The sequence below is a fragment of the Homo sapiens genome, chromosome 2, assembly GCF_000001405.40.
Source record: "Homo sapiens chromosome 2, GRCh38.p14 Primary Assembly".
Classification (NCBI taxonomy): Eukaryota; Metazoa; Chordata; class Mammalia; order Primates; family Hominidae; genus Homo; species Homo sapiens.
In genome coordinates this window covers 149,407,246-149,432,328 of record NC_000002.12, presented here as the reverse complement: position 1 = coordinate 149,432,328, position 25,083 = coordinate 149,407,246, and the positions used below count along the sequence as shown (strand labels likewise).

Sequence of the window (25,083 nt, the reverse complement as noted above, 5' to 3'; positions counted from 1 at the left end):
GGCTATTGTGAATACTGCTGCTAACATTCATGTACATGTTTGTGTGTGGACATATGCATTCTGTTTTTCTTGGGTATATATGCAGGAGTGGAACTGCTGGGTCTTGTGGTCTTACGTTTTACTTTTGGAGGAACTGCCAGTTTTGCACTGAAGCTGCACCATTTTACATTCTCATCAGCAATATATGTGTTTCAATTTCCCCACATCCTCACCAACACTTTTCTTTTCTTTTTTAAAAAAATTATAGCCATCCTAGTGGCTGTGAAGTATATCTCACGCTGATTTTGACTTGTATTTCCCAAGCAATCAGTGATGTTGAACATCTTTTCATGTGCTTATTAGCCATTTGTATATCTTCTTTGGAGTGATGTCTATTCAAATCCTTTGCCCAATATTTTGCCTGAATATTATCTAATTATTTTTGAGTTGTAAGAGTTCTATATTCTGGATTCTAGATCCTTTTCAGATAAATGTTTGCAAATATCCTCTCCCATTCTTTGTTGTCTTTTACTTTCTTGATGGAGTCCTTTGATCTACAAAAGTTTTTAATTTTGATAGAGCCCACACATTATTTTTTATAAACAGATTTTGTTCCCTTATAAAAATCACAACCGACACAGGACTAAAAAAAATGCATACAATGCACAGTAAAATAACTTGTCTACTTTATAGTAGACAAGGCTGTATTTTCCACCTCTCTTTTCCATGAGAAAAACAGGATGGGCAGGACTGTTTATTCATATCACCGACTGTTTACATTCCTGCAGTAAATCATGAAGCACCACTCACTCTATTAGTATTTTCTAGGAACTGAAAAATGAAAAATGAGTGGCATGCATTCACAATTAACCTAACAGCTACTGAAATACAAACACTGCTCAGGGGATGTATCTTTTCCTCATAGATTCTCAGTAGTTGATGGAGCTTTAATCCACAAACCTCACAAATGTGACGCTGGACATGTTCAGATGATATGAAGTCTTTCCTGGGACTTTGATGCTTTTCCACAGAATCTGCAGTGCCTTTGTACTGTATTAGACATTTAGAAAAGACATTGTGTTTCCATTTTATGATGCTGCTATTTGAATATGCACTGCAGATCGTGTCCCTGAATACGGTTCTCTTTATGAAGAAGTACACTCTCATTTTCACAGTTCTGTGACCTTTCATTTGTTATTTATGAGCTTTTGCAAATCTAATACCGCTCTGACAGATTTAATTTGTGCTCTAAATTACCTTTGCATGAGTTACTCAACTGCTGGTTTTATTCCAATGGATTACTTGCTACATTCCAAAACAGAAAAAAAAAAATTAGTTCAAGATCTATTGGACTTCCTCCACTTGGGAGAAAGTTGAGAAGAGGTGCACTCTGAACCTTCACTGTGTGGATGGTACTAGACAATATAAAGGAGGATTTCTACATCAGTCAGAGGCAAAGTGCTAGGACCATAAGCCAGGTCAAGTTTTACAAGTCTACATCCTAATTACTATTTCATGTACAGTCTATAAAATGAGATACTTCCACTTAAACTGGTCACTAGATGAAAATTAAGCACTTTGGAAGCTATCTTAAGAACCAAGTACTAAATTACAAAATCTCAGGACTAAGTCAGTATATACGCAATTATAAAGTGGCAAACAAATACAAATCTAAATATTTCAATGCTATTCAAACAGAAATTTAAAAATGCCTAATACAAGAGCAGAATGGAATTCTGAAGCCTCAAAGATCACAATCAATCTTGATTTAATTTTTAATATGGTGGTATCTTAGGTGCCTGAAAAAGTTAATACAGTTTCCAAAAGTATAAACTAAAGGTAGGTCTTTCAAAAGCTAAGTCTCTTTAAATATATCACGCTGACCACAGGCACCTTTCATGCAATTTGGGAATTGCTCAAGATATGCCCTGCTTTAAAAACTTGTCTGGGGGCTAGGTGCAGCAGCTCACGCCTGTAATCCCAGCACTTTGGGAGGCTGAGGCAGGAGGATCAACTGAGGTCAGGAGTTTGAGACCAGTCTGGCCAACATGGTAAAACCCCATCTCTACTAAAAACACAAAAATTAGCTGGGCATGGCGGCGGGCACCTGTAATCCCAGCTACTCCAGATGCTGAGGCAGGAGAACTGCTTGAACCCGGGAGGCGGAGGTTGCAGTGAGCCGAGATCACGCCAACGCACTCCAGCTTGGGTGACAGAGTGAGACTTCATCTCAAATAAATAAATAAATAAATACAATTGCGAATTCTTTCACATGTCTCCATTGAGATGTGAGGTCTACATCTTGTCATTTTGACTCTGGGCCAACTTTACTAACTAGTTGACCAGAGTGTGGTATAAATGATGCTTTGTGATTTCCAAAGCTAGGTCATAGAGCATGATGCAACTTACACCTGGTACTCTGGAATAATTGTGCTGAAACTCTGAGACACCATGTTAGCAGCCTAAGTGCCTTGAGACTGCCATGCTATAAGGAAGCCCAAGTAGTCCACAAGGAGCTACTGAGACTTCATAAAAAAGAGAGCTGCCCAGCCAACCCCCAGGGGCTCCAATCCCAGCTCCTCCCTTCTATTCCATAGCCACAGTTACCTTGCAACAGCACAGAAACTTCCAGAAAAGCCTAGCTGAGCCCTTCTTACATTCCCGACCCACAGAAATCATGAGAGAAAATAAAATGATTGTTACTGGCTTCCAGCCACCAAGGTCTGTGGTGACTTGCAAAGCAGCTACAGATACCTAAACACAAGGAAGTGGAGCTAAAGAGCTAACTAGAAATTACAGTTCAGCTCATGAAGATAGTAGCATTTTTAAGAACACATTGGTTGTAAGGTACAGAAATCCCAATCAAATAGGCTGTAACTAAAACTGCAACTGGGAAGGAAGGGGAAGCATTTTACTGTCTCACCTAACCATCCAGTTTAGACATGGCTGGACTTTTAACCTTGTTTTCAGGAATTTTCATCCCTCAACTTTGCTCTGCCCTCTCTTTTACTTTTATTCTCATCAGGTCCTCCCAAACTACAGCCACCAGCAGTTCCAAAGGCATTCTCCAGAAGTCTCTTTTCAAAATGTTTCAAGAAAAGCTCTAAGAAAGGAGGGAGGTCCATCTTTGGACCAAGAATTGGCCAGAGTAATGTGCCATTCCACTTGCCCAGGGCTGCGTCACTAGCATGTAGCTGAAACCAGAGCAAAAGTGTCATTTTTATTGAAATCACAAGGTATGAGAATGTGGGAGGTATTGGTTTCCCACAGGAAAACCTAGGTGTTTCAAGCTGAAGCAGAAGGACTGACTAGATGCTGGGAGAGCAAAACCACAGATGACCACTACAACAACAACACAGAGTTTGAATAACCTCATTAGCCTAGGCATGCAAAATGAAGCTAAAGGTTGCTCTGGTGAATATTTCTGCAAATACCAGAAGACAGCAGTGTTCCTCACTGACATGTTACCTATTGACAAGTAGGAACGTTACCTATTTTCTTCTCTAAAAATTGAATACCACTCCATTACAACTTTTCAAATCAAAATACAAGGTTGAAACAATAAAACCAAAGTTCTAGGGGGCATTCGCAATGCATTCTGCTCTATACTTCCCCCTTCTTACGGGAACGGGTCTTCTGCTAACACCAATCATGTGTAACTATTGAAGAGTTTCACATTCTTACATGGCTAAGCCTACTGGCTACTGTTATTTGGGTCAGTGTTGGACATTTTCACCAAGTCTGGCCAATTAGAAGTCTTCCTGAATATTTTTCAAGTGAGAATGGAAAAATAAACCAGTCTTCTCTGGTACAGGAGCCCCCAAGGTGTGACACGCAGAAACATGTGTATGCCATGTTCCTCCCATCATGGAGGAGGAAGAAGAGAATGAAACTTGCTGGCTAAGAGAAACGGTGATGAGAGAGAGTCAAAAAAGCCCCAACTGTGTTCAACCCTTGCATTTCTGGCCAGTTTTTAACTCTTCCTTTAATTATTATAGAAGCCTTAATATCCATCCAATAAATCTCCCTTTGCCCAAGCTAGTTTGAGCTGGCATTCTGTCCCTTGCAGCCAGGAACTCTGGCTCCAAAAGAGTCCTCCAAAAGGATCCAGCCACTAGCTTAAATTTTGTTTTGTAAATAAATATGCTTTTTACATTAATATTTCTTTAAGCCTTATCAGCTAAAGGTTAAAGGTGGTTTTAAAAATGTCAATAATAGAGAACTAGCCAGAGATGATCTCTCTTGGACTTCATAGACACTGATACTTTATTCTACACCTAGAGGGAGAAAGTTATTCATGCATACCCAATCTTAACTGCGAATCTATTTGCATAAAAATCAATGTTTTTTAAAAAAGTTCATTTCTCTTTCTGGAGCCCCTTGGCAAGGCTAGAGTTATAGGGAAAAGCTGTCTTGCCCCAATTTGATTTAAAGTTCAATTGCATCAAAATACTTCAATTCCTGAAGGGCAAATGATGTCTTGTTGTGTATGTCTAGTAATATACAATCATACATCATTTAACAACGAGGATACGCTCTGAGAAATGCATTGTTAGGTGATTTTGGTGTTGTGTGAACATCATAGAGTGTACTTATACAAGCCCAGATGGTATAGCCTACTATACACCTAGGCTATTGAGTATAGCCATTATAATCGTATGGGATTACTGTTGGACACGCAGTCCACTGTTGACCAAAATGTCATTATGCGGTCATTATGCATATGCATGACTGTATTCACAATTCTAAAGGATGTATTTACTCTAGGAGCTATTCAGCTTGTTGGCTGTGTGCTTGTTTGCTTTCTCCATCAATCTGAAGGTTCTTGAGAACTGACAAGAAGGCATTTTCAAGTGCAAACAGCCAGAAGGGAAAGGAGTCAAGGAACTCCCAGGCAGGAATGGAACACTAGGTACATTTCAGTTACAGCTTGTCATTTTTTATTTATTGGGAGGGGGTGGTGGTCTGAAGAAATTTTTGCCTTTAGTGTCTTTCATTAAACTCTTCTTATGTTTCAGAATGCCATTTTTCATTTTATTTTTTCCAGGAATTTTTACCCTAGAGATATTCCAAAAATGCGGAAGTGTAAAATGTACTCAGAAACAATATAGTAGTTCTAAGTGAACTAAATTGCAGCCAGGTCTGTTCTTACATTCAAAATAACCTGGTTCCAAATCTAACATTAGATTATGAGGCATATGCTTTATATCCTTTAATCAAAAAAAGAGTTACCTTGGCACTATATAGAGGTAGTCATTTCTGTATTTGGAGTGATGCATTTACCTTTCTTTTATTCATGTTTCCAAATCTTCAGAAACAAGAAGTACTAGTAATCAGTTATAAAGCAGATGCTGCCTGCTATGCACCCGTGGAGATATTCTGCACTATTTGAACTGAGTTTTATTGGCAGTGCCCACTGGAAGGTGTTTTGGGCCACTCTGTCATCATTTTAGAGGGCTGGCATGAAGATTCTGTTTGAGGCTTTGAGATCAGTTCATTCTCCCACCCCACCCAATGTCTTTGGCACTGCCCTGCTTACCCACATTATTAAGGGTTTTCTGCCCTTCCTGACACCCCTCACCACATTGTCTGAAAGCCAAATGTAAACAAACCACTCTGAAATCTTTAACCTCTTCATGAAATGTTTCTTCCATTGCTTTGTGTTGAGAGAAGCCCAGCTCACAGCAAAAAACTGCTACTTCCTTTTGAGCTATTTCCAGTACAGAGTACTCACTCTTCCAAGTCCCATGGATTCTGGGGACAGGAGGAAGCCAGAATTCTCCCTCCCACCATAATTTACAAATCATGCCCTTTCTTTCTACACAAATTCTCCTCCTTACCACAAAGCCTAAACCATCTGCCCTTGTAGCTAGCTGTCAAGAAAGGGTTAGAGAACGTGAAGAATATGGCTCACCTTCAACCATTAACAAGCACTTAGCCTCATCTTGATTCCCACTCAAGACTGGGAAGAACCAACTCATACTGAATCTTGTGTCCTACCTGGCATGGAGTAGGGTTTTTCCCATGGTTCCAAGAATCCTGACCAAATATTTGTCCAAAAACCGTGAGAGTTGTTTCCATTTGGCCTTTGAAATAATTTAAGTTCAAGAAAGAGCTGTAATTACTAATCTGGTAGGTGTGGAGAGTTCTTCCAGAATTTCTCACAGCAGAGAAGAGCCAGCCTGTGCTCTCTTTTCTTGTAGGAAAAAGAAAAAAAATTCAAACAGCCAACAACAAAACAATGACTTAGGTAAAAACCCTATGGCTAACCCTATTTGCAAACCACTGGGTTCATTAGCAGCCAACTTCTAAATCTTAACCAATATTTCTCACTTGATAATGAATGTTTTAAAAACAAATCTATGTGTGTACATATCCTCCAAATCTGTGATTAATACCTTCAGCTACACACAGTATGTATCCTGACAGCTCAAAGACCATCGCAGTTTTATTTTTGTGAAAGGGTATAAGATTGGCTAAATCAACCTAAACTATAATTTGACTTTTCAAACACATTTAACTAATTAGCACACTTAGTTAGAGGAAAGAAGGATTTCCTCATCCTGCATTTGAAGGCAAAAAAATGTATCAAATAAGCTCCCAACTCTGTATCACTGAGGCAGGAATTCTTCCTTTTAATGCACCATCTTCATTTATAAGTCTCTATAAATAATGATAATTGAAGAAGTGTATTATTGTAGCAAAGCAGAATATAATAAGATTTTACATAGCATTCACTCAGGTAGAAAAGGATACAGGGGTTATTAATAAAAGAGCGTTGTCCTTGATAATAGAACATTTTTGTTTTTGCATCTAAATTAATTTCTTTCTTAGAGAAAAAAGTACTGAGTAGCCTCCTATGGATAAGAAAATTGTCCTCCTTGTTTTCTATTTTACATGTTCACTCATTCACCCACTCATCATGCTCTACAAGGCAGGCATAGATAACAGTATCTGTTATATACATTATTGTTAATAGTTCTAGCATAATACTCAAATTCTTGAGCTCTCTTAGTAAAATCATTAATGTTATTCTTAAAATAAAAGTCCCCATAAAGACTGCTAAGAGCATGTGAAGAAATGCTGGCTTCAGTCACTTAGTGAATAGTGAGCATGGTGTGATGTTGATGTGCCATCCTTAGAACCAAGGCCACACACATGTGAGACGCAGGAAGAGGATCCAGGTGACATGACTGCATCAACCCTACACAGGCATTATCCATGAAAACCAATAAGACATCCATAATCCTTCCTTCCAACTAGGGCAGCTTATCTGGAAGAAAAAAGGAAGGAAAAAATGGAGAGAGACAGGGATGACACACAACCTGAGGGGCAGGTGCGAGCTGTGGAATGCCCTGGACTCCCTGATCCAAGGTGATCCCATTGAAGCTTTCCAGTCTCCAACCAGACTGGCAACTAGGGCCCAATTCTGTCTTCAAAACAACCCTAAGACGAACCTTTGGGGAGGAAGTAAAGTGGGAGCTCCAGCAGCAATGAGAAGCATCGGTTCTGGGTAGAAGGGGAAGTCTACAAGCCTTCCCATGATCTGGTGCCTGCCTACCACTTGCCCCTTGACATTCCAGCTCAATTGACAGCGCCACTATGAATAGGTGTCTAGTGCACCACGCTGCTTCTCATTCAGTGCCTTGGCTCCTGCTGTCATCCTTGGTTTCCTTCAATTCACTACTGAAGTCTCAGTTCACTTCCTTTAGAAAGCCTCCCATCCCCTCTCCTCACACCAGATCAATTAGAAACCACCTTCTCTGCTCCTGTTTTGGCCTCTACCTATCTAAGGTGGCTACAGGCCTTATTTCGTAAGGACAATGAATGGGCTTTGTATTTTGACAGATTTGGGCTCAAGTCCCAGCTTTGCCACTTATTAGGTCTATGACCTTGGACAGGTTACTTTTTCTTTCCTCATCTCTAAAATGAGACCGATAGCTTCTATGCCGTAGGGACAAGATACGAATTAATATACCACATATAGCTTTCATTAGTTATTATGATTGCCAACATGTAGTAGAACTGTTAAGATGACATACTTTTTACTAAATTTTGAGCTCCTTAAGGGCGTAAATTTTATGGACATCATCTGATTTATCCTTAGGTCCCCAACCCCTATGACACAGGAGGTCTCTGATAGCGATTTGTTGATTTGATATAGAAGTAATCATAATAACTGCTTTTATAACAGAGGGATGTGTGTGTGTGTTGTGTGCATATTGACATGTGTACGCATGCTACAGGAACTTGGAAGAAGAAAAGAATTTGGGGTGTTTCTGGTGAGGAGGGTGAGAAGATAAAGCCATCTTGAGACGATGGCATCTTTCGGGGAAATCTTCAAGTCTTTGAGTAATACTTTTATCAGGGCTGGATTGGACCAGCAAAGGGTTCTGTCCCACATCTCCCAAATCAAGCTTACTCAGAGGCATCCATGGGAAATACTGTGCATTAAGAGTCAGAATACACATAAGCATATTAAAGGCTCTGAAATGTGCTGCAGTGAAGAAATCTCTTTGGTTTTGCTTAAGTCAGCATTTTCCCCACACTTATTTGAACAGTGACACCCCCCACCCCCCGCCCCGGCAGAGAGCTTATTTTTTAATGAACGTCTATTAACTAGTCTAGTTTTCTGAGGAGTAGTTTGGGGAACCAATGTCCTATTCAAAGTGTGTTATTTTATACATGAAGGAATTGAGGCATAGAGTATTTCAGGTATCTATCCGCAGAAAAAAGCTGGTAAACAATTAGAGCTTCAAGGGCAGCCTCGTTTTCCTGCCACCCTGGCTAGGACACTTTTCAGCCCAGTGTGCCATGTCACAGTCAGCAGAAACATAGCAACTCTAAACCTTGCTTAATTTCAACAGAGAAAGTAGGCAATCGTCTCATTTTGCAATGTACAGGGTGGTTAAAATCTACCCCAAATCTGCATCCCACCTATCAAAATTTCCCCCCTTCATCATGCAGCCTGATACCATCACGAACTGGAAATGTATTTAAGGTTCACAAATGTTTTCTTTTAAAATTCAAATAACCCAGAAGCTTACTTTAAGAGAACCTTCCTTTATTGAATGCTTCAGGCCAATCTAATTCCTTGACCTCCACATCCCACCTGAGATACAGCTGCCCCCACAGTGCTGATGAAAGAGGAAGGCAGAGGCTGGGAGGTGGGCAGGGCAGTCCAGCTGATCCTCCAGGTACATATGAGGTCACCCTGTACCTCCTTGCCCTGTGGGGGCAGATGGTTATCTGTCTTGGTGTTGCCTCCAACTGCCAACCCAGCTCAGGATCCATTACATTTTATAAAGATCAGATAAACCTCTATGTTCATTCCAATAATCAAATAAGTATACAAGGGGTATACTTATTTGATTATTGGGCACTGGAAATAAAAGGGCTTAGAGAAAAAGCTGTTAAAATTCAATTGCAGCAACATGGATGAACCTAGAGGACATTATGCTAAGTGAAATAAGCCAGGCACAGAAAGACAAACATTGTATTCTATGATCTCACTATATGTAGGACCTAAAAAAGTTGAACTCACAGAGGAAGAGTAGAATGATGCTTGTCAGGAGATGATGGGGGAAGACAGATAGATGGGAGACGTTGGTCAAAGGGTATAAAATGTCAGTGAGATAAGAGGAATAAGTTCTGGGGATCTGTTGTACAGCATGGTGACTAGAGTTAATAACAGTGTATCATATACTTGAAACTTGCTAAGAGAATAGTTCTTAAATGCTCTCATCACTAAAAAATCTTAAGTATGTGAAGTGATTGATAAGTTAATTAGCCTGATTTAATCATTTCACAATGTACACATATTTCAAATGGGTGTGGCAGCCACACCCAACAGCCACAAGCAGGCTGACCAGGAACCACTACAGCAAGGACATGAAGTGCTGGGCTCCAGAGCAGAGAGACCCCAGGCCCCATTACCCACTTGCTAGGCTTACTGTGAAGGAGAATATGTAATGCATCGAAAGCAGTGTGGTACAGTCCAGGAGCACAGGCTCTGGAGTGGGCCAGCTCAGCCTAGCACGCTGACTGCTCCTGGGAAGGTTGCTTAACCTCTCTGTGCCTTAGTTTCCTCAATTGCAAAATAGGGAAATTAAAACCTCTAGTTTAAAGGGCTCTTAGGAGGTTTAAAGGAGATAGTACACTTTGAACAATGCTAGCACATGCTTGCTAGCTAACATAGTCCTTAAAATCAGCTCACAGTAGGTGAAGAAGGCACCTGGTTACTCATCTGGGTCAAGACACTGCCCAGGAACGTTTGCTTTCCATTCAGAAAGACCTTTGAAAGGTCTTCCAAGAGGCGCCATAGCATGCCAAGCTCTATTATAAGAAGTCAAAAGCCTGGGTCACCACCTGTCAGACTTTCTAGCTGATCCCAAGCTAAGATCAGCATCTTGTGGTGAGGATAAAAACACAGGCAGAAGTGAAGCAAATTAGTTAGGGAAGGTCTGGGGCAGACCTTCTCAAATTTGAAAAGTGTTTTCTCCTATAAAAGGAGAAAACGGTTTCACAGACAGAACCTCACCCATTCCGTTAACTAATGAATGTTAATTATGATACTACTTATGAATACAGACAGAAAACTGATATTAAGCTTTAAAGTCCATATATGGCTTTAAAACTAAATAAAAATTGCCAAATATAAATATTATATTCAAATAAAATACATTGGTTACATGGAAAATAACAGCAACAATTAACGTTTATTGAGCACTTACTATAGGACTGAATAGTATTAGATTGCCACTATCCCATCATTTTCGACCTACAAAAACAGCAACTTCATATGGCTCAACCTAGTAGGTGCAAGGTGCTTCCATAGGTGCTTTCTGTAATCCCCACAACACTCAGTGTAGTAGGGGTAATTATTATTACTCCATTTTACAGATACAGAAACTGGGACATCAAGAAATAAAAACACACTTTTTTTTTTTTTTTTTTTTTTGAGATGGAGTCTTGCTCTGTCACCCAGGCTGGAGTGCAGTGGTATGATCTCAGCTCACTGCAACTTCTGTCTCCCAAGTTCAAGCAATTCTCTTGCCTCAGCCTCCCAAATAGCTGGGATTACAGGCATGCGCCACCAGGCCGGGCTAATGTTTTGTATTTTTAATAGAGACAGGGTTGTTGGCCAGGCTGGTCTCAAACTCCTGACTTCAAGTGATCTGCCCGCCTTGGCCTCCCAAAGTGCTGGGATTAAAGAAAGTGGTGGGATTAAAGAAAAGTGCTGGGATTAAAGAAAGAGGGTATCAAAAAGGGCCAAGGTTTCCAAATTTGCTACACATTGGAATCCCCTGGGGATCCTGAAAAACTCCTCATGATGGCTCTCACCCATTACCATTTCACTGCTATGGGATGCGACCTTGACACTGGGATTTTAAGAATCCTCCAGGTGATTCTAACTTGCAACACAGTTTGGGAAACCTTATAATGCTTCTGCAAAGTTGCCAGCGGGAAGAAACAGCCCGAAATGTATTCTGTTATTCCACAGGCTGCAGCAAACAGCACTGAGAAGTTCTCCACACGGCTCAGTTAAGGGGCTCTTAGCAGTCCCGCATAATCACAGTACGATGTATTCCACCAGGTCTCCTCTCTCTATCCTGCCTGTGGGTCTTCCGAGTCTTTGGGGAAAGGAAGTAGGCAGGCCCTGACCTATGAAACTACCATGGCATCTTTCCTGGTTTCTACAATGCTCAGCCCTAAACCTGATGGGATTCTCTTCACTTCTTTGGCAGTAACTTCCCTAAAGTGTTTTTCACCCTCTTGATGGAAGTGGTTGTCTGGTGTTACCCTTGAAATACTCCAGGTGAAGTACACTCTACCTTTCCAGCCAAGCACACTCGATTTTTATGACAACAAAAGAGAAAATGTCTTGAGGCCTCTCCAGGGACGAACATACACTCACACCTATTACTCTAAAGGTAGCCAGCGGGACGGTCACATTTTGAGAAATGAAACACACACAGACACCAACATTTTCAGAGGCAGCATGGAGCAACCAGAAAAGAACAGCTTTTGCAGACTGCAAACTTGAACTTTGACTCCTGCTCTGCTACAAAGAGCAGGGTGAACTTGAGCAATAAAACTTCCCTGCAGTTCAATGTCCTCGTTTGCAGTGGCACACTGAGATGCCTTCAGCTCACTGGGACCCCCGCCCTGACATCTGGACTGTGAGTAACTATGCTTGTGAGAACTAAGCCTTGATTACATGACCCCTCTCTAAAGGTGGCATACTTTCTGGCCTCTCTTTCTAGTCACTTATTCTGATGTTATTCATAGCGGAAAAGCAGGCAGGCCTGGGATTCAGGCAAAAGGGAATAAATACAAGTAATGTAGTCAGGAATCAACAGGAAAGCTAATGATACATTCATTCTGATTTCACTCTGTAACGTAGAATAACATAGTTCCAATATCAAAACCATACAATTTCTGTAGTTACACTGTATCCTGCAAGGTCTTTTTCCTTATGAGCAGAAAGAAACACAGACACACACACACACACACACACCCTGAGCACATATTGTAGAGAATTATCCTACAAGAGGCAAAGGAATTTGATCAAAAGTCTTTGAAGGATCAGCATTTGATATGAGATAACTGGTTGTTCTAATTCCTGTTTTTATGCTTATAGGGATCTGAAGCTTTCTGCCAGCTTGTCTGTGCATGAGAGCACGCAGGTAGTGAGGATAAATGCTACAGTGATTCTCTATAACAAGGGTAGCAAAAGGAAGGGTCTAAGTCAGCTGTCCAATAAGACTTTCTGTAATGACGGAAATGTTCTATGTCAATGCTGTCCGATTTGGGAGCCACTAGCCACAACTGAAATGTGTGACTGAGGCACTGAATTTAATTGTATTTAATTGAAATTTAAGTTAAATAGTCACATGTGGCCAGTGGCTACAGTACTGGACAGTAGAGTTCTTAATTAATGATAAATGAATAAAATCCAATCACTTAAAGCTGTGACCTCAGAACCAATTAGGAGTAGGGTGAAGAAGAATGAGTATTACCCAGTGAAATACCAACACATCAACGTTAATTAAATAAGAAAATATAACACAGCTGCTTCTATGGGAGATATTCTGGGCCTGATCATTAGAGCCCAGTAAAAGGGGATCAAAAGGAAATGAAATAGACCAGGCATCATACCTGCAGAAGTACTACAAAGAAACACTCCACCCTCACCTTTCTTTTGTAGTTGATGGCTGAAAATGATATATTATTTGAAAAGAATCATTCCATGCTTTACATTTGACTCCGTCAATTACCCTCTGAGGTAGGTTATTATCTTAATCCCAGTTTTTACAGATGAGTAAGCTAAGGAAGATCAATTGTCACCTATAATTGTATTATAGAAAGTGGCAGACTCAAAATTTGAATTGAAGCAGCCTGGTTTCATATGCCAGGTTTTAAAAGTCTTCAGCCAGTTAGAAGATAAGGTGAACAAAAGAACTGCCTTTGAGAGAGGCTGGCTTGCTCAATGTATCCTGGACATGCTAAGAATGTGTCACTGTAGGGGAAAGTGGTCATTTAGGTTTTAAGAAGTATAAAGCAAGCATGTGAAAGCTGGGTGCTGAAGAAGGGTGAAGAGAAGGAAGCAAACATTGAAACCTGGGGCTCTGGGGTACTCGCACTTTGCCAACTGGCCAAATGCTCTAGGCCTTCTCTGAATCTGCTAGCTTCTCCTCAAGCTATTAAAGTCAATGGGAAAATTGTGGACAGGTATCTGAGAAATAGCGCAAGGTCTCGAGAGAATTAGAGGAAAGAAGTGTTTCCATATGTTAGAAGTTGGTTTCTCTTTAACCCAGTTTGCTTTAACTATAAAATCTTATCAATACAGATCAAAATGTAGGTTATTTTAAAGGGCCATGTCCCCCATTTCAACTTCTTATTATTACTCATTTCAGGGAGTTCCAAATTTTTATGTTCTAGATAATGCGTGAGCAACATCCTTGCTACTACATTATATGGTCTATGCCCCATTATTTTCTTAGAATAAACTCCTAGACATGAGGGAAAAAAAGGAAATGATCGAATCGCAGCTTGCACTGGTTGGACCAGTAAGAATGTGGGGGTTTCCCTTCCCCTACAATTGTGTCACAAAGGAATTTCCATATTGCCTGGAAATCTTTGTTCCCTTTGGCTTATAATCAACAGGAGAAAAAAGAGGATCTCTCTTGATGCCTTCCTGCTGTGAAGATTTGATGAGGCCATAGAGATCGAGCCCATGCAAAATCAGAAAACATCCGAATTGTCTGTAATTTAATACAATCAGTCCTGCTTACCACAAGACGAGTGAACAAAGCATTTCTCCTCCAATATTTATTACACTGCAAGTTCAACATCTCCCAGTAGTAACTCAATGCTCATGGCAAAAATGAATCACAAATTTCAGATTATTGATTTAGTTGGGAAAATTCATTCATTTAATAAATATTTACTGTGTCTAATATGTATTAGGTACTACTCTAGGTTCTGGTGTTACAAAGAAAACAAAACAGATGAAAACAATATTGATATTCTGGTTCATTATATTTCTAGTTTATCCCAGCTCAGTATTTTTTGGAAGAAAAAAATTAATTCAATATGAATTAATATTGGGATTCACTTAAAAATCCAGCTGATTAAATATAGCTCAACACAGGTCAAGTTTCTTTTAGTGGTATAGTCCTTGGGAACTCTTTACTCTAAAATGCAGCATCAAAAATTTAACACATGAAATCCTTTCTGGTTACTTTGCAGACCCCCAAACCCCAGAATTGTTCTAGACAGTTTTTCCCTCCCAACATGCAGTCTCCCCATTTTACTGATCCTACTTTCTAGATACTCTTCAAATCACTTCCCCTTTCTTCATCATGCCTATGGCCTAAATTTTAGTTCAGACGCTTAATTTTTGCTGGTCTGACTGTTTCTTTTCTTTCCAAACATTCTGTATTACAGTTTTCTAAAAGATCTAATAATATAGGTCCACAGTTAGAAACTGTCAATGGTTCCCCACTGCTCACAGGATAAAGTCTAAATGCTTTATCAGTATATACAAGGCAGTATAGAGCTTATGGCGAGCCCCAGTGGGAGAATCATAAAATAGGCCTTGGGATTCTGGAGCAAGTCCATGTCATCTGCAGTAGAAGAGTAAAGCCCTTTTAAGAAATTGCCCTTGGCATGTTACTGATTCCTGCTAACAATGGAGTGTTGCCCATGTGATAATGAGTGATCCTGAATCTGGAACTACCCATCATGAGCTGGGTTCTATTGGGCATGCCCAGTCATAAAGGCACTCACACCCAGCAGAGCCCCAGCCAGCATTGCTACCTGGGGGCTTGTGGACTGGCTGGTCCATAGGCACGAGATCCTGTACAGCATAACATCTTCCCATGCTGTCACAGAAAAGAGATGCAAGATTGGGCCCAAGACCATGGAATCCAGTGTTGTATCACATATCGCACCACTCATAAGCAGCAGGCCTCACAGAACACTAGAACTGCCTTCTAAATGTGCAGGTGAAGCACCAGCTAGGAGGCGATCTTCTGAAAGGATGTGGTGCTGTCCTTCAGGATGCAGCATACGCACTGCATCAGAGTCCTCCACGGGGTGCTGTCTCCAATAGGAAGATGGCATGGGCCCCAAAACCAAGAACAGGAGTAGCCCCGCTTATTAGCACTCCTGATAACTCACCAGGGGATTCTATGCTTCTCCTTCACAAAACTCTGGGCGTTGTAAGGGAGGTCCTGGGCTCCTTACCCTCTTGCCAAAGAACTTAGCAAGGGTCCCACTGAACTACAGTTATAGCTGCCACGAGGGCACCCTGGATTCTTTGTGTCCAGGGACCAAATGGCAGAGATAACTGACCCTAATTGGCAGGAAGAGGCAGGGCTGTTTTTACCCAGGTAAGGCAGAGAGGAATACATATGAAACCGAGGCAACCCATGTGGGTGCCTCCTGATACTCCCTTACCCCACTATAACTGAACAGACACATGCAGCAATCCCAGCCTCTGAAGGGCATGACTACAAAGGTTTCATTCCCCCAGGAAAGAGGATTTGGGTCACATCATTAAGTAAGCCAGCAAGACCCACCAAGGTGATAATTAGGGATATGGAGAACTCAGAGTGGGCAGCTCAGGAAGGAGAAGATGAGTACCCACTGCAGACCCCAAATTAACTGTGGTGAGGAAGGCATATAGTTTGTCATGCTAACCTTCCTCTTCTGAGTTCTCTCTCAGGAAAAGCAGCCCATGGAAGTCACGGAGGCACTGCTCTTCAAACTTGAGTAGAAAAAGAGGTCTGTAAGGCACAACTGTGGCAACTTTGACTCGGGATTGTTAGCTTTGTCAAACTTTCTTAGAATTACAGGTTAGGCTGGGCATGGTGACTCCTGCCTATAATCCTAGCACTTTGAGAGACCAAGGTGGGCAGATGGCTTGAGCCCAGGAGTTCAAGACCAGCCTGGGCAACATGAAGAGAAACCCCATCTCTACAAAAAATACAAAAAAAAATTACAAAAATTAGCCTGGCACAGTGGTGTGCGCCTGTAGTCCCAGCTTCTCAGGAGGCTGGGGTGGGAGGATCACTTGAGCCCAGGAGGTTGACGCTGCAGTGAGCCGTGATCATGCCACTGCACCCCAGCCTGGGGGACGATGTGAAACCCTGTCTCCAAGAAAAAAAGAATTACAGTTTAGTGTAAGGCCTACCCAGCCCTTCCTTCTTTCTTTCCTTCCTTCCTTCCTCCCTTCTCTCTCTCCTTCGTTAAGGGTGAGACCTGCATTGCAGTCTGATAGCTCTCCAAGCCTTCCCCAGCTCCAGCACCATTTCCCTTAGAGATATTTCTCCCGGTCAGTTGCTCTCAGCATCTGCTTCAGTCCTTTCTAATGTGCCTGTACCATCTCTAGGCTTAGCCCCCTTCTTTGCCCCTAGCAAGCCCCCTGCCTTCTGCCATGTGCTTCACAGACTCCACACTAAAGAGCCATCCTCCTTTTTCAGCCAGGCAGAGGGGGATCTATACTACTCCCTCTGCTCTCTCTCCAGGAACTGAGGTTTGGCAGCCAGTCTAAGGACGAGAGTTGATTCTGGCCCTGCTTTCCCTATTTGTTTTTGCATGGCCAGTTCAAAAGGATCTGCCTGACTGTGGAGCACAGATTCCTCCACATCCTACACCAAGTTGTAGGGTTCCATATATTTATACTACACAGCATGCATCCCACAGAATGTCTCTTTCCCATTGGACAGTGATAAAATCTAGAGTGTGTGTCCATCTATAAGGAACACCCACTACCAGCTCTGGCTGAATGTTGCCACAAGGGCTAGTGAGGTTAGCTCTGCTGAGTTTTTAAGAAACCTCAGAAGTCTGTACTTTTATTGTAAGATCACTGCATTTTTAATGTTGTAAACTGGTTCAAAATGAACAAAACGTAACAGGAGGACAAACGCACCCCATGACTGTTTTGGTTCCTGCCTGCCAGCTGGTGTCCACCATTCTAAATGCTCCAACAGCCTCAACATGACCTCCACAGAATGCCTCTTAAGAAGCTAAACTGTCACCATTTTAAGAAACTAAGTCATTATATTTTGGATTTTGTCCTTTCAGTTCATGGGGTATTTCATAACCCCAGGGTACTACAGAATATATTAACTTCACCAAAGAGGCAATTAATTTATTGTCTTATTCAAGAAGTATTTTCTGAGAATTCAATACGGGCCAAGCCCTGTGCTAGTTATGAAGGTTCAGATTTGTATAAGAGTTGATCCTTATCCTCCAGAAAATCATAATTTAATAGGAAAGACAGAAATGTTAAAAGTATAATTTTATATTATTTGAGGCGATTTTAATATATATATTCTCTACTAAAGGCCAATGTTTTGATTTTTCAAAGAATAGTACCATCTTTCAAACAAAAATATAACGCAAATTTAAAAATACTATTTTTTTAGAAACACCTTTAAACCATAAGCTATTTCCAAAGAAAGATTTTAATGGATGAGAAAGTTTGTCATTACAAAACTGTAGAATGTGAGAATTTAAGAAATATTAACAGTGAGTATTAAAAATACATTAGGGACCATTTAGTAAATGTTTTAACAAATGCTTTAATAAAATCACTTTAAAATTATATCTTATTCTAATACTCTGAAATTTCTTTTTCTGAATAGTGGCATAAAACACAAATTAATCTGAGGGAAGAAAAAAGGTACAAGTTCTTTAACTGAACATCTATCAAAGTTCTATTGCTTATCAAGTCCTATTTCTAATTACATAAATTTGTAAAAATATACAAACACAACACCAACTAGTTCTAGGGAAAAGTGGCCATAGATTCTGAGATTGCTAAAGAACCACCTACACATTTTAAAGATGCAAGTGGCCACCCTTTGGCCAGTATCCCTAACTTATGCACATTTTCAATAACCTGTAAAGGTTATAAGATATGTTCTTATTGATCACGCTGTATGGTGCAGAATGCGGATGGACCCCAGAATTAGAGTAGACTTGGTAATTGTTCTCTATACCTCTTCCCTTCTTCTTCCCCAAAACCCACAGTCACATAGCAAATCAATTGCCAGGTACTGTCCTTGTGCCACAAAGTAGATATGTGAACTTCACTTTTCTAATGACCCTGGCCAACACTTTAAAACACACAAATTGAAACTGCTCCATGTCAGTGAGTATTGGGAGAATTTTAACAACTAGATTAAAAGGCCAATCAATAGGTAAGTCCCCAGGGGAAGTGCTAATGCCAGGGAATAGATTAACTGTTAACTGATTTCAAGAATAAGTGGAAAGTGCAAATCTCACAGAAATGAGGTGGAAAGGAGAATAAAATAAGTGGGAGATGAACAACTAAAAGAATTTCGGGCCAGATAAACTGTAGTGTGGTAAGTCTGTAACATAGTAGAAAGATGAAATTCTTCTTTTTTCTAATCTCTCTCTCTCTCTATCTCGTCATTTCACTTTTCTTTACACATGAGAAAATTTGGGCTGGTTTATTTATCCATGTTTCTGTATCATGTTGCAGTAAATCAGAAGGTAGAAAATGTACCCAGTAACTCACAAACTCAACCTCCTCTTTCCCCCATCTTAGTCTCTCCTGGGCAAGGAACAGCTGCCTGGCCGGATGTTGGCGCCATAATTACTGAGTAACAGAGGGTGTCTGGAGGACCCAGTTCGGGACTCCCAAATATCCTCAGTTTCCCTTGGGTGAGGAAAAGGCCAACTGCAGATGGTACTTAAAGATGTGTTGATCCTTTATAAAGTCAAGAAGAAGGGAAAACACAAGCCCTGGGAGAGTTTTGGAGATGAGTGTAACATTCTCAAAAACAATAGAAATTCGGAAAAAAATATAAATATCAGAAACCTAGCAAAATACAGTTGCTATGATTGGTCTTAAAATTCAGCTCTGGGCTTCTAGGCTCAAAAGGTAGTATGGAGAGCATGATGAGTTAATGATTATGAAAGGAAAACACTGAACTAGCACATCATTCACAAATGGGAATTCTCCTAGAAAAAATTATTCTCTATATTCCATTTTCATTTCTGCCACAAAAGGCAGTTTGGATCCTAATATGATATTACTTTTTACATATACTTTTTTTGCTTAAAAAAAGTTGACACAGTACTTTGGCTTCCAACGATAATATTGCTCACAATGCAATATTGAAAACTGATTTCTAGTCAATTGGATATAGACAGCAGAGACACTGCTGGTGTGAGAAAGCTCCCTTAGATGCTATGTTTATGCTGCTCTTGGACCACAGCCTACACCTGACTGATTGGCAACAGAATCTGTAAAAGCAGGCTATTAAGAGTTGAGAAACAGACTCGAGAACTCTAGAGTAGAATCAGAAAATCTGTATTAAAAAAAATTAACAAAAATAGCTTCTCTGATGGATTCTAAGGATTTCCAGGTATGGGAACTTGAAGATTAGATCATGAAAAACATAGATAAGTGTCATCTCTAAACACCAGTCCACAAAAAAAAAAAAGAAATAAAATTAGCTAATAAATCTTTTTTAAATGCTCAACCTTATCAGAGTTAAAGAAATGTGAATCAAAACAATTAGATTCGATTTCTACACCCATAAAATTGGTAAAAAGGTTTTCATTTGATAATATCCTATGGGAAAAGAGAGTCTCATTTGAAAAGCAAATTAATTTATATTTTCTGGAAAGTTACTAGGCAGTACCTATTCATTTTTTAAATGTATATACTCTTTAATCCCAAAATTCCATTTCCAAGAATTTTCCTAGCTGATAAATTTCAAAAGTGTGTCAAGATAATATAGGCGAGAATGCACATAATCTAAATACCTGATAATAGGAGGTAGGTTTATAAAGTACAATCATACAAAAGAATATCGTACAGACTTTAATAAGAAGACCATATGCTATATTACGAGAAAAAAAGATGCAAACAAGAATGTACACTAGGTCCTTTTTGTGATTTTTAAAAAGCAAATGCATAAATACATATACATATATATGTGGGCTCTATGTCTAACCTTTATTTTCTAAACTGTGTTAATGATTATCTTTGGGGAAAGAGCCATCACTAAGGGAGTGAGGGAGGTTTTAAACTTTTCATTTTATATTTCTCTATACTGTTTGAATTGTCTTACCATGTGTAAGTATTCAAGGGCATACATGGTATTCTGCAAAATATGCTTAATTCCATGCTAGCTTCCCCTACTATCATTTCTTTGTCAAATACTTCCACTGTCAATCATATCATGTGAGTGAGTCAATTTGTTTCAAATTATATCGCACCCCACACTGCCAACCCACTAACTAGCAAAATGGATTTGAGAAGGCCTATAATAAAAGATTCATAGAAAGGCTGTTAAATAAAACAAGCAAATAAAATTCATGGAAAGGAAGAGGAAATAAAAAGCCCAGGCAAATGGAGTAAATGGAATGCCTATGATTAAGCAATAAGCACAGCTCCAAGTTTCCTGAAGGAAAAGGCAGAAATGGAAACATGACGAGTGATGTCACTCTTGTTGTCTGGAGAAAGACTTCATACCTGTTTATAAAAAAAAAAAATACACACACATTTTTACCAGATGATGAATTCTGAGATGTTATGCAAGACACTGAAAACATCTTGATTTTACGGCTTAGCCAGTGGTTCCTAAACTTGACGCTGCGTCAGAAGGCTTGTTAAAACAGACTGCTGGACCCCACTCCCATTTGAGTCATTAGGTCTGTGGAATGGAGCTTGAGACTACATTTCTAACAGTTTCCTAGATGATGCTGATGTTGCTGATCTGGCACCACACTTTGGACCTTAGACCAACCATTCCACTGTACTAATCCTAATGGTCGATGACTTCATCAGTAGTTCTGCTGAAGATCTGGAGATACTCTTCACATAAGCATTTCAGTAAAACAATGAAATGTAACATGGTGAAAGCATTTACAAACCTAATGAGGCCACATAACTTTCCTATGATCTAAATAGAAAACACAGATGGAACTTGAGTACACCCATACATTCAGATGTATTGTACTTGCCTGGGCCCTTCATAATGCAAATGTATTACACATCACCTGCCCCTGATAGGGCTTAGACAAGAGCTCATAATACAGATTTATTGAATACTGACTCGCATGAACAATAGCCTTGTTTTATCCACACAGAAGGCTGGTTTCCTGCCAGCATCCAAAATACATTATAATTCAATTCAAAATCAGGAATCAACGACTTTAGACAATCTGCACTCTTTTTTTTTTCTATTGACATGGGGAATAGAGGATTAACTGTACCAGAAATTAGCATAGGACTTTTCACTGGAGAAGCAAGAGTTACTTTTCAGGTAAACAACCTCATTTGTTTTCCAACATCCCTGAGGGGTAAACTGCACCTTAGTCACAGCACTAGAATCCTATGTCTGAGACCACCATTTCTAACTCCGACTTGGTTCACACTTGTCAAAAGTACTTGATGCCATAGGAAATGGCTCATGTATTTAACAACTGCACCTAGATACAAATCACAAACACATACAAATATTCACGTATACTGGCACAAACCACCAGCATGTTTTACAAGATTAAAAACAACTAAAAATGTATCCAACAGATGCACTTACAAACGTATGCATTATACTCAAAAAAGAGAAAAATAAAAAAGGAATTTTTATAAAAATTAGAAGTACTCTGAGACCCCTAAATTTCAGTAAATTTTACTAGTTTTTGACAGTTCAAGTCAACAAACTTCAACTGAGCACCTACTATATGCCAAGTGTTGAGTTAAGAGCTGGGAACTGGGGATTAAGATGGCAGATAGAAGGCAGGACTAGCTTGCAGCTCCTGCTCAGAGGGACAGAGCAGTGTGTGGAGATGCACATCATGACCTTTTGCTCCAAGAACTACCACAGGAACACACCAGGAAAGCTGAGAGAATCCACAGGCCCTTAGAAGGAACTGAATCACTGCTGCAGGCCCCCTAAGATGCTGAAAAACTGTGATTCTGCTGCTTCTTTTCTCGATGGCTCATGGTCTGGGGCAAGTTCTCAGCCCTGGTAGTGAGCCCTCCTACTCACGGTAGGAGTGAGACCAGCCTTTAGGACTGCCAGCTGTGTGGAAGCAGGACGAAGCCAGTGACTGCCAGCTTTCTCCCACTTCCCTGGCAACCTATGTGACTCAAAAGAGGCAGCCATAATCCCCCTGGGAATATAACTCCACTGGACTGGGAACCATACTCCCAACCCCCACAACAGCTGCAACAAGCCCCACCCAAAGAGATGCTGAGCTCAGACATGCCTATCCCTGCCCCAACCTGGTGGTCTTTCCCTACCTGCCCTGGTAACCAAAGACAAAGGCCATAATCTCTTGGGAGTTCTATGGCCCTGCTCACCACCTGAGAAACCTGAATGCTTAACCAGGTGTCCCTAGGGCAAGTGTGCATCCTCCCTATAGGACTGCAGCTGATGCGCTCTTGAAAGCTCCACCTCCTGACTGGAGGCTAACCAACACAAAATCAGTGCTCTAAACAAAAACACAACCAAGGACCCTCAGAGTCCACATCACTCCCCTGCTACCTCCACCAGAGCAGGTGCTGGTATCCACGGCTGCAAGACCTGAAGATGAGATACATCACAGGACTCTGCAGACACTACACAGTACCAGCCCGGAGCCTGGTAGCTCTGCTAGGTGGCTAGACCAAGAAGAGAAAAAACATTTACTACAGTTTAGCTCTCAGGAAGGCCCATTCCTAGGGGAAAGGAGAGAGCACCACATCAAGGGAGCACCCCATGGGCCAAAAGAATCTGAACAGCAGCCCTTGAATCACACATCTTCCTTATGACATCATCTACTCAAATGAGAAAGAACCAGAAAAACAATTCTGGTAATATGACAAAACAAGGTTAACACCCCCAAAAGATCATACCAGCTCACCAGCAATTAATCCAAAACAAGACAAAATCTCTGAATTACCAGAAAAAGAATTCAGAAAGTCGACTATTAAGCTAATCAAGGAGGCAACAGAGAAAGGCAAAGTCCCACTTAAATTCATCAAAAACATGGTACGGGATATAAAAGGAAAATTCTTCAGTGAAATTGAAGAGCATAAATAAAAAACAATCACACCTTCTGTAAATCAAGGACACACTTAGAGAAAAGCAAAATGCACTGGGAAGTCTTCACAACAGTATCAAACGAGCAGAAGAAAGAACTTCAGAGCTTGAAGACAAGGCTTTCAAATTAACCCAATCTGTCAAAGACAAAGAAAAAATTTTAAAAAATGAAAAAATCCTCCAAGAAGTTTGGGACTCTGTTAAATGTCCAACTCTAAGAGTAATAGGCGTTCCCAAGGAAGAAGAGAAGTCTAAAAGTTTGGAAAATATATTTGACGAAATAATCAAGGAAAACCTCCCCAGCCTTGCTAGAGATCTAGATATTCAAATAGAAGAAACTCAAAGAACACCTGGGAAATTCAATGCAAAAAGATCATTGCCTAAGCACATAGTCCTCAGCTTACCTAAAGTCAAGACGAAGGAACGAATCTTAAGAGCTGTGAGGCAAAAGTATCAGGTAACCTATAAAGAAAAACATATTGAAAATGTCCCTGTCTGACAGCTTTGAGGAGAACAGTGGTTCTCCCAGCACGCAGCTGGAGATCTGAGAACGGGCAGACTGCCTCCTCAAGTGGGTCCCTGACCCCTGACCCCCGAGCAGCCTAACTGGGAGGCACCCCCAAGTAGGGGCAGACTGACAACTCACACGGCCGGGTACTCCTCTGAGACAAAACTTCTAGAGGAACGATCAGACAGCAGCATTCGCAGATCACGAAAATCCGCGGTTTTGCAAACACCGCTGCTGATACCCAGGCAAACAGGGTCTGGAGTGGACCTCTAGCAAACTCCAACAGACCTGCAGCTGAAGGTCCTGTCTGTTAGAAGGAAAACTAACAAACAGAAAGGACATCCACACCAAAAACCCATCTGTACGTCACCATCATCAAAGACCAAAAGTAGATAAAACCACAAAGATGGGGAAAAAACAGAGCAGAAAAACTGGAAACTCTAAAAACCAGAGTGCCTCTCCTCCTCCAAAGGAATGCAGTTCCTCACCAGCAATGCAACAAAGCTGGAAGGAGGATGACTTTCACAAGTTGAGAGAAGAAGGCTTCAGATGATCAAACTACTCCGAGCTACAGGAGGAAATTCAAACCAAAGGCAAAGAAGTTGAAAAGTTTGAAAAAAATTTAGACGAATGTATAACTAGAATAACCAATACAGAGAAGTGCTTAAAGGAGCTGATGGAGCCGAAAGCCAAGGCTCCAGAACTACGCAAAGAATGCAGAAGCTTCAGGAGCCGACGCGATCAACTGGAAGAAAGGGTATCAGTGATGGAAGATCAAATGAATGAAATGAAGCGAGAAGGGAAGTTTAGAGAAAAAAGAATAAAAAGAAACGAACAAAGCCTCCAAGAAATATGCGACTATGTGAAAAGACCAAATCTACGTCTGATTGGTATACCTGAAAGTGATGGGGAGGATGGAACCAAGTTGGAAAACACTCTGCAGGATATTATCCAGGAGAACTTCCCCAATCTGGCAAGGCAGGCCAAAATTCAGATTCAGGAAATACAGAGAAC

At 40.6% G+C, this 25,083-nt stretch overlaps 1 protein-coding gene across 5 annotated transcripts in view, besides 1 other annotated feature; it reads right to left on the bottom strand.

Moving 5' to 3' along the window:
* The window catches only part of LYPD6 (LY6/PLAUR domain containing 6), a 156,394-nt gene that overhangs the window by 54,050 nt on the left and 77,261 nt on the right, over positions 1 to 25,083 (bottom strand). The window lies entirely within an intron of this gene.
* Positions 13,919 to 14,440: an enhancer, noted in NCBI's record as "OCT4-NANOG hESC enhancer chr2:150274403-150274924 (GRCh37/hg19 assembly coordinates)". NCBI's record gives its function as "activates a minimal SCP1, AML or CMV promoter by ChIP-STARR-seq in primed H9 embryonic stem cells {active_cell/tissue: H9 hESC(primed)}" and the evidence as "EXISTENCE:reporter gene assay evidence [ECO:0000049][PMID:30033119]".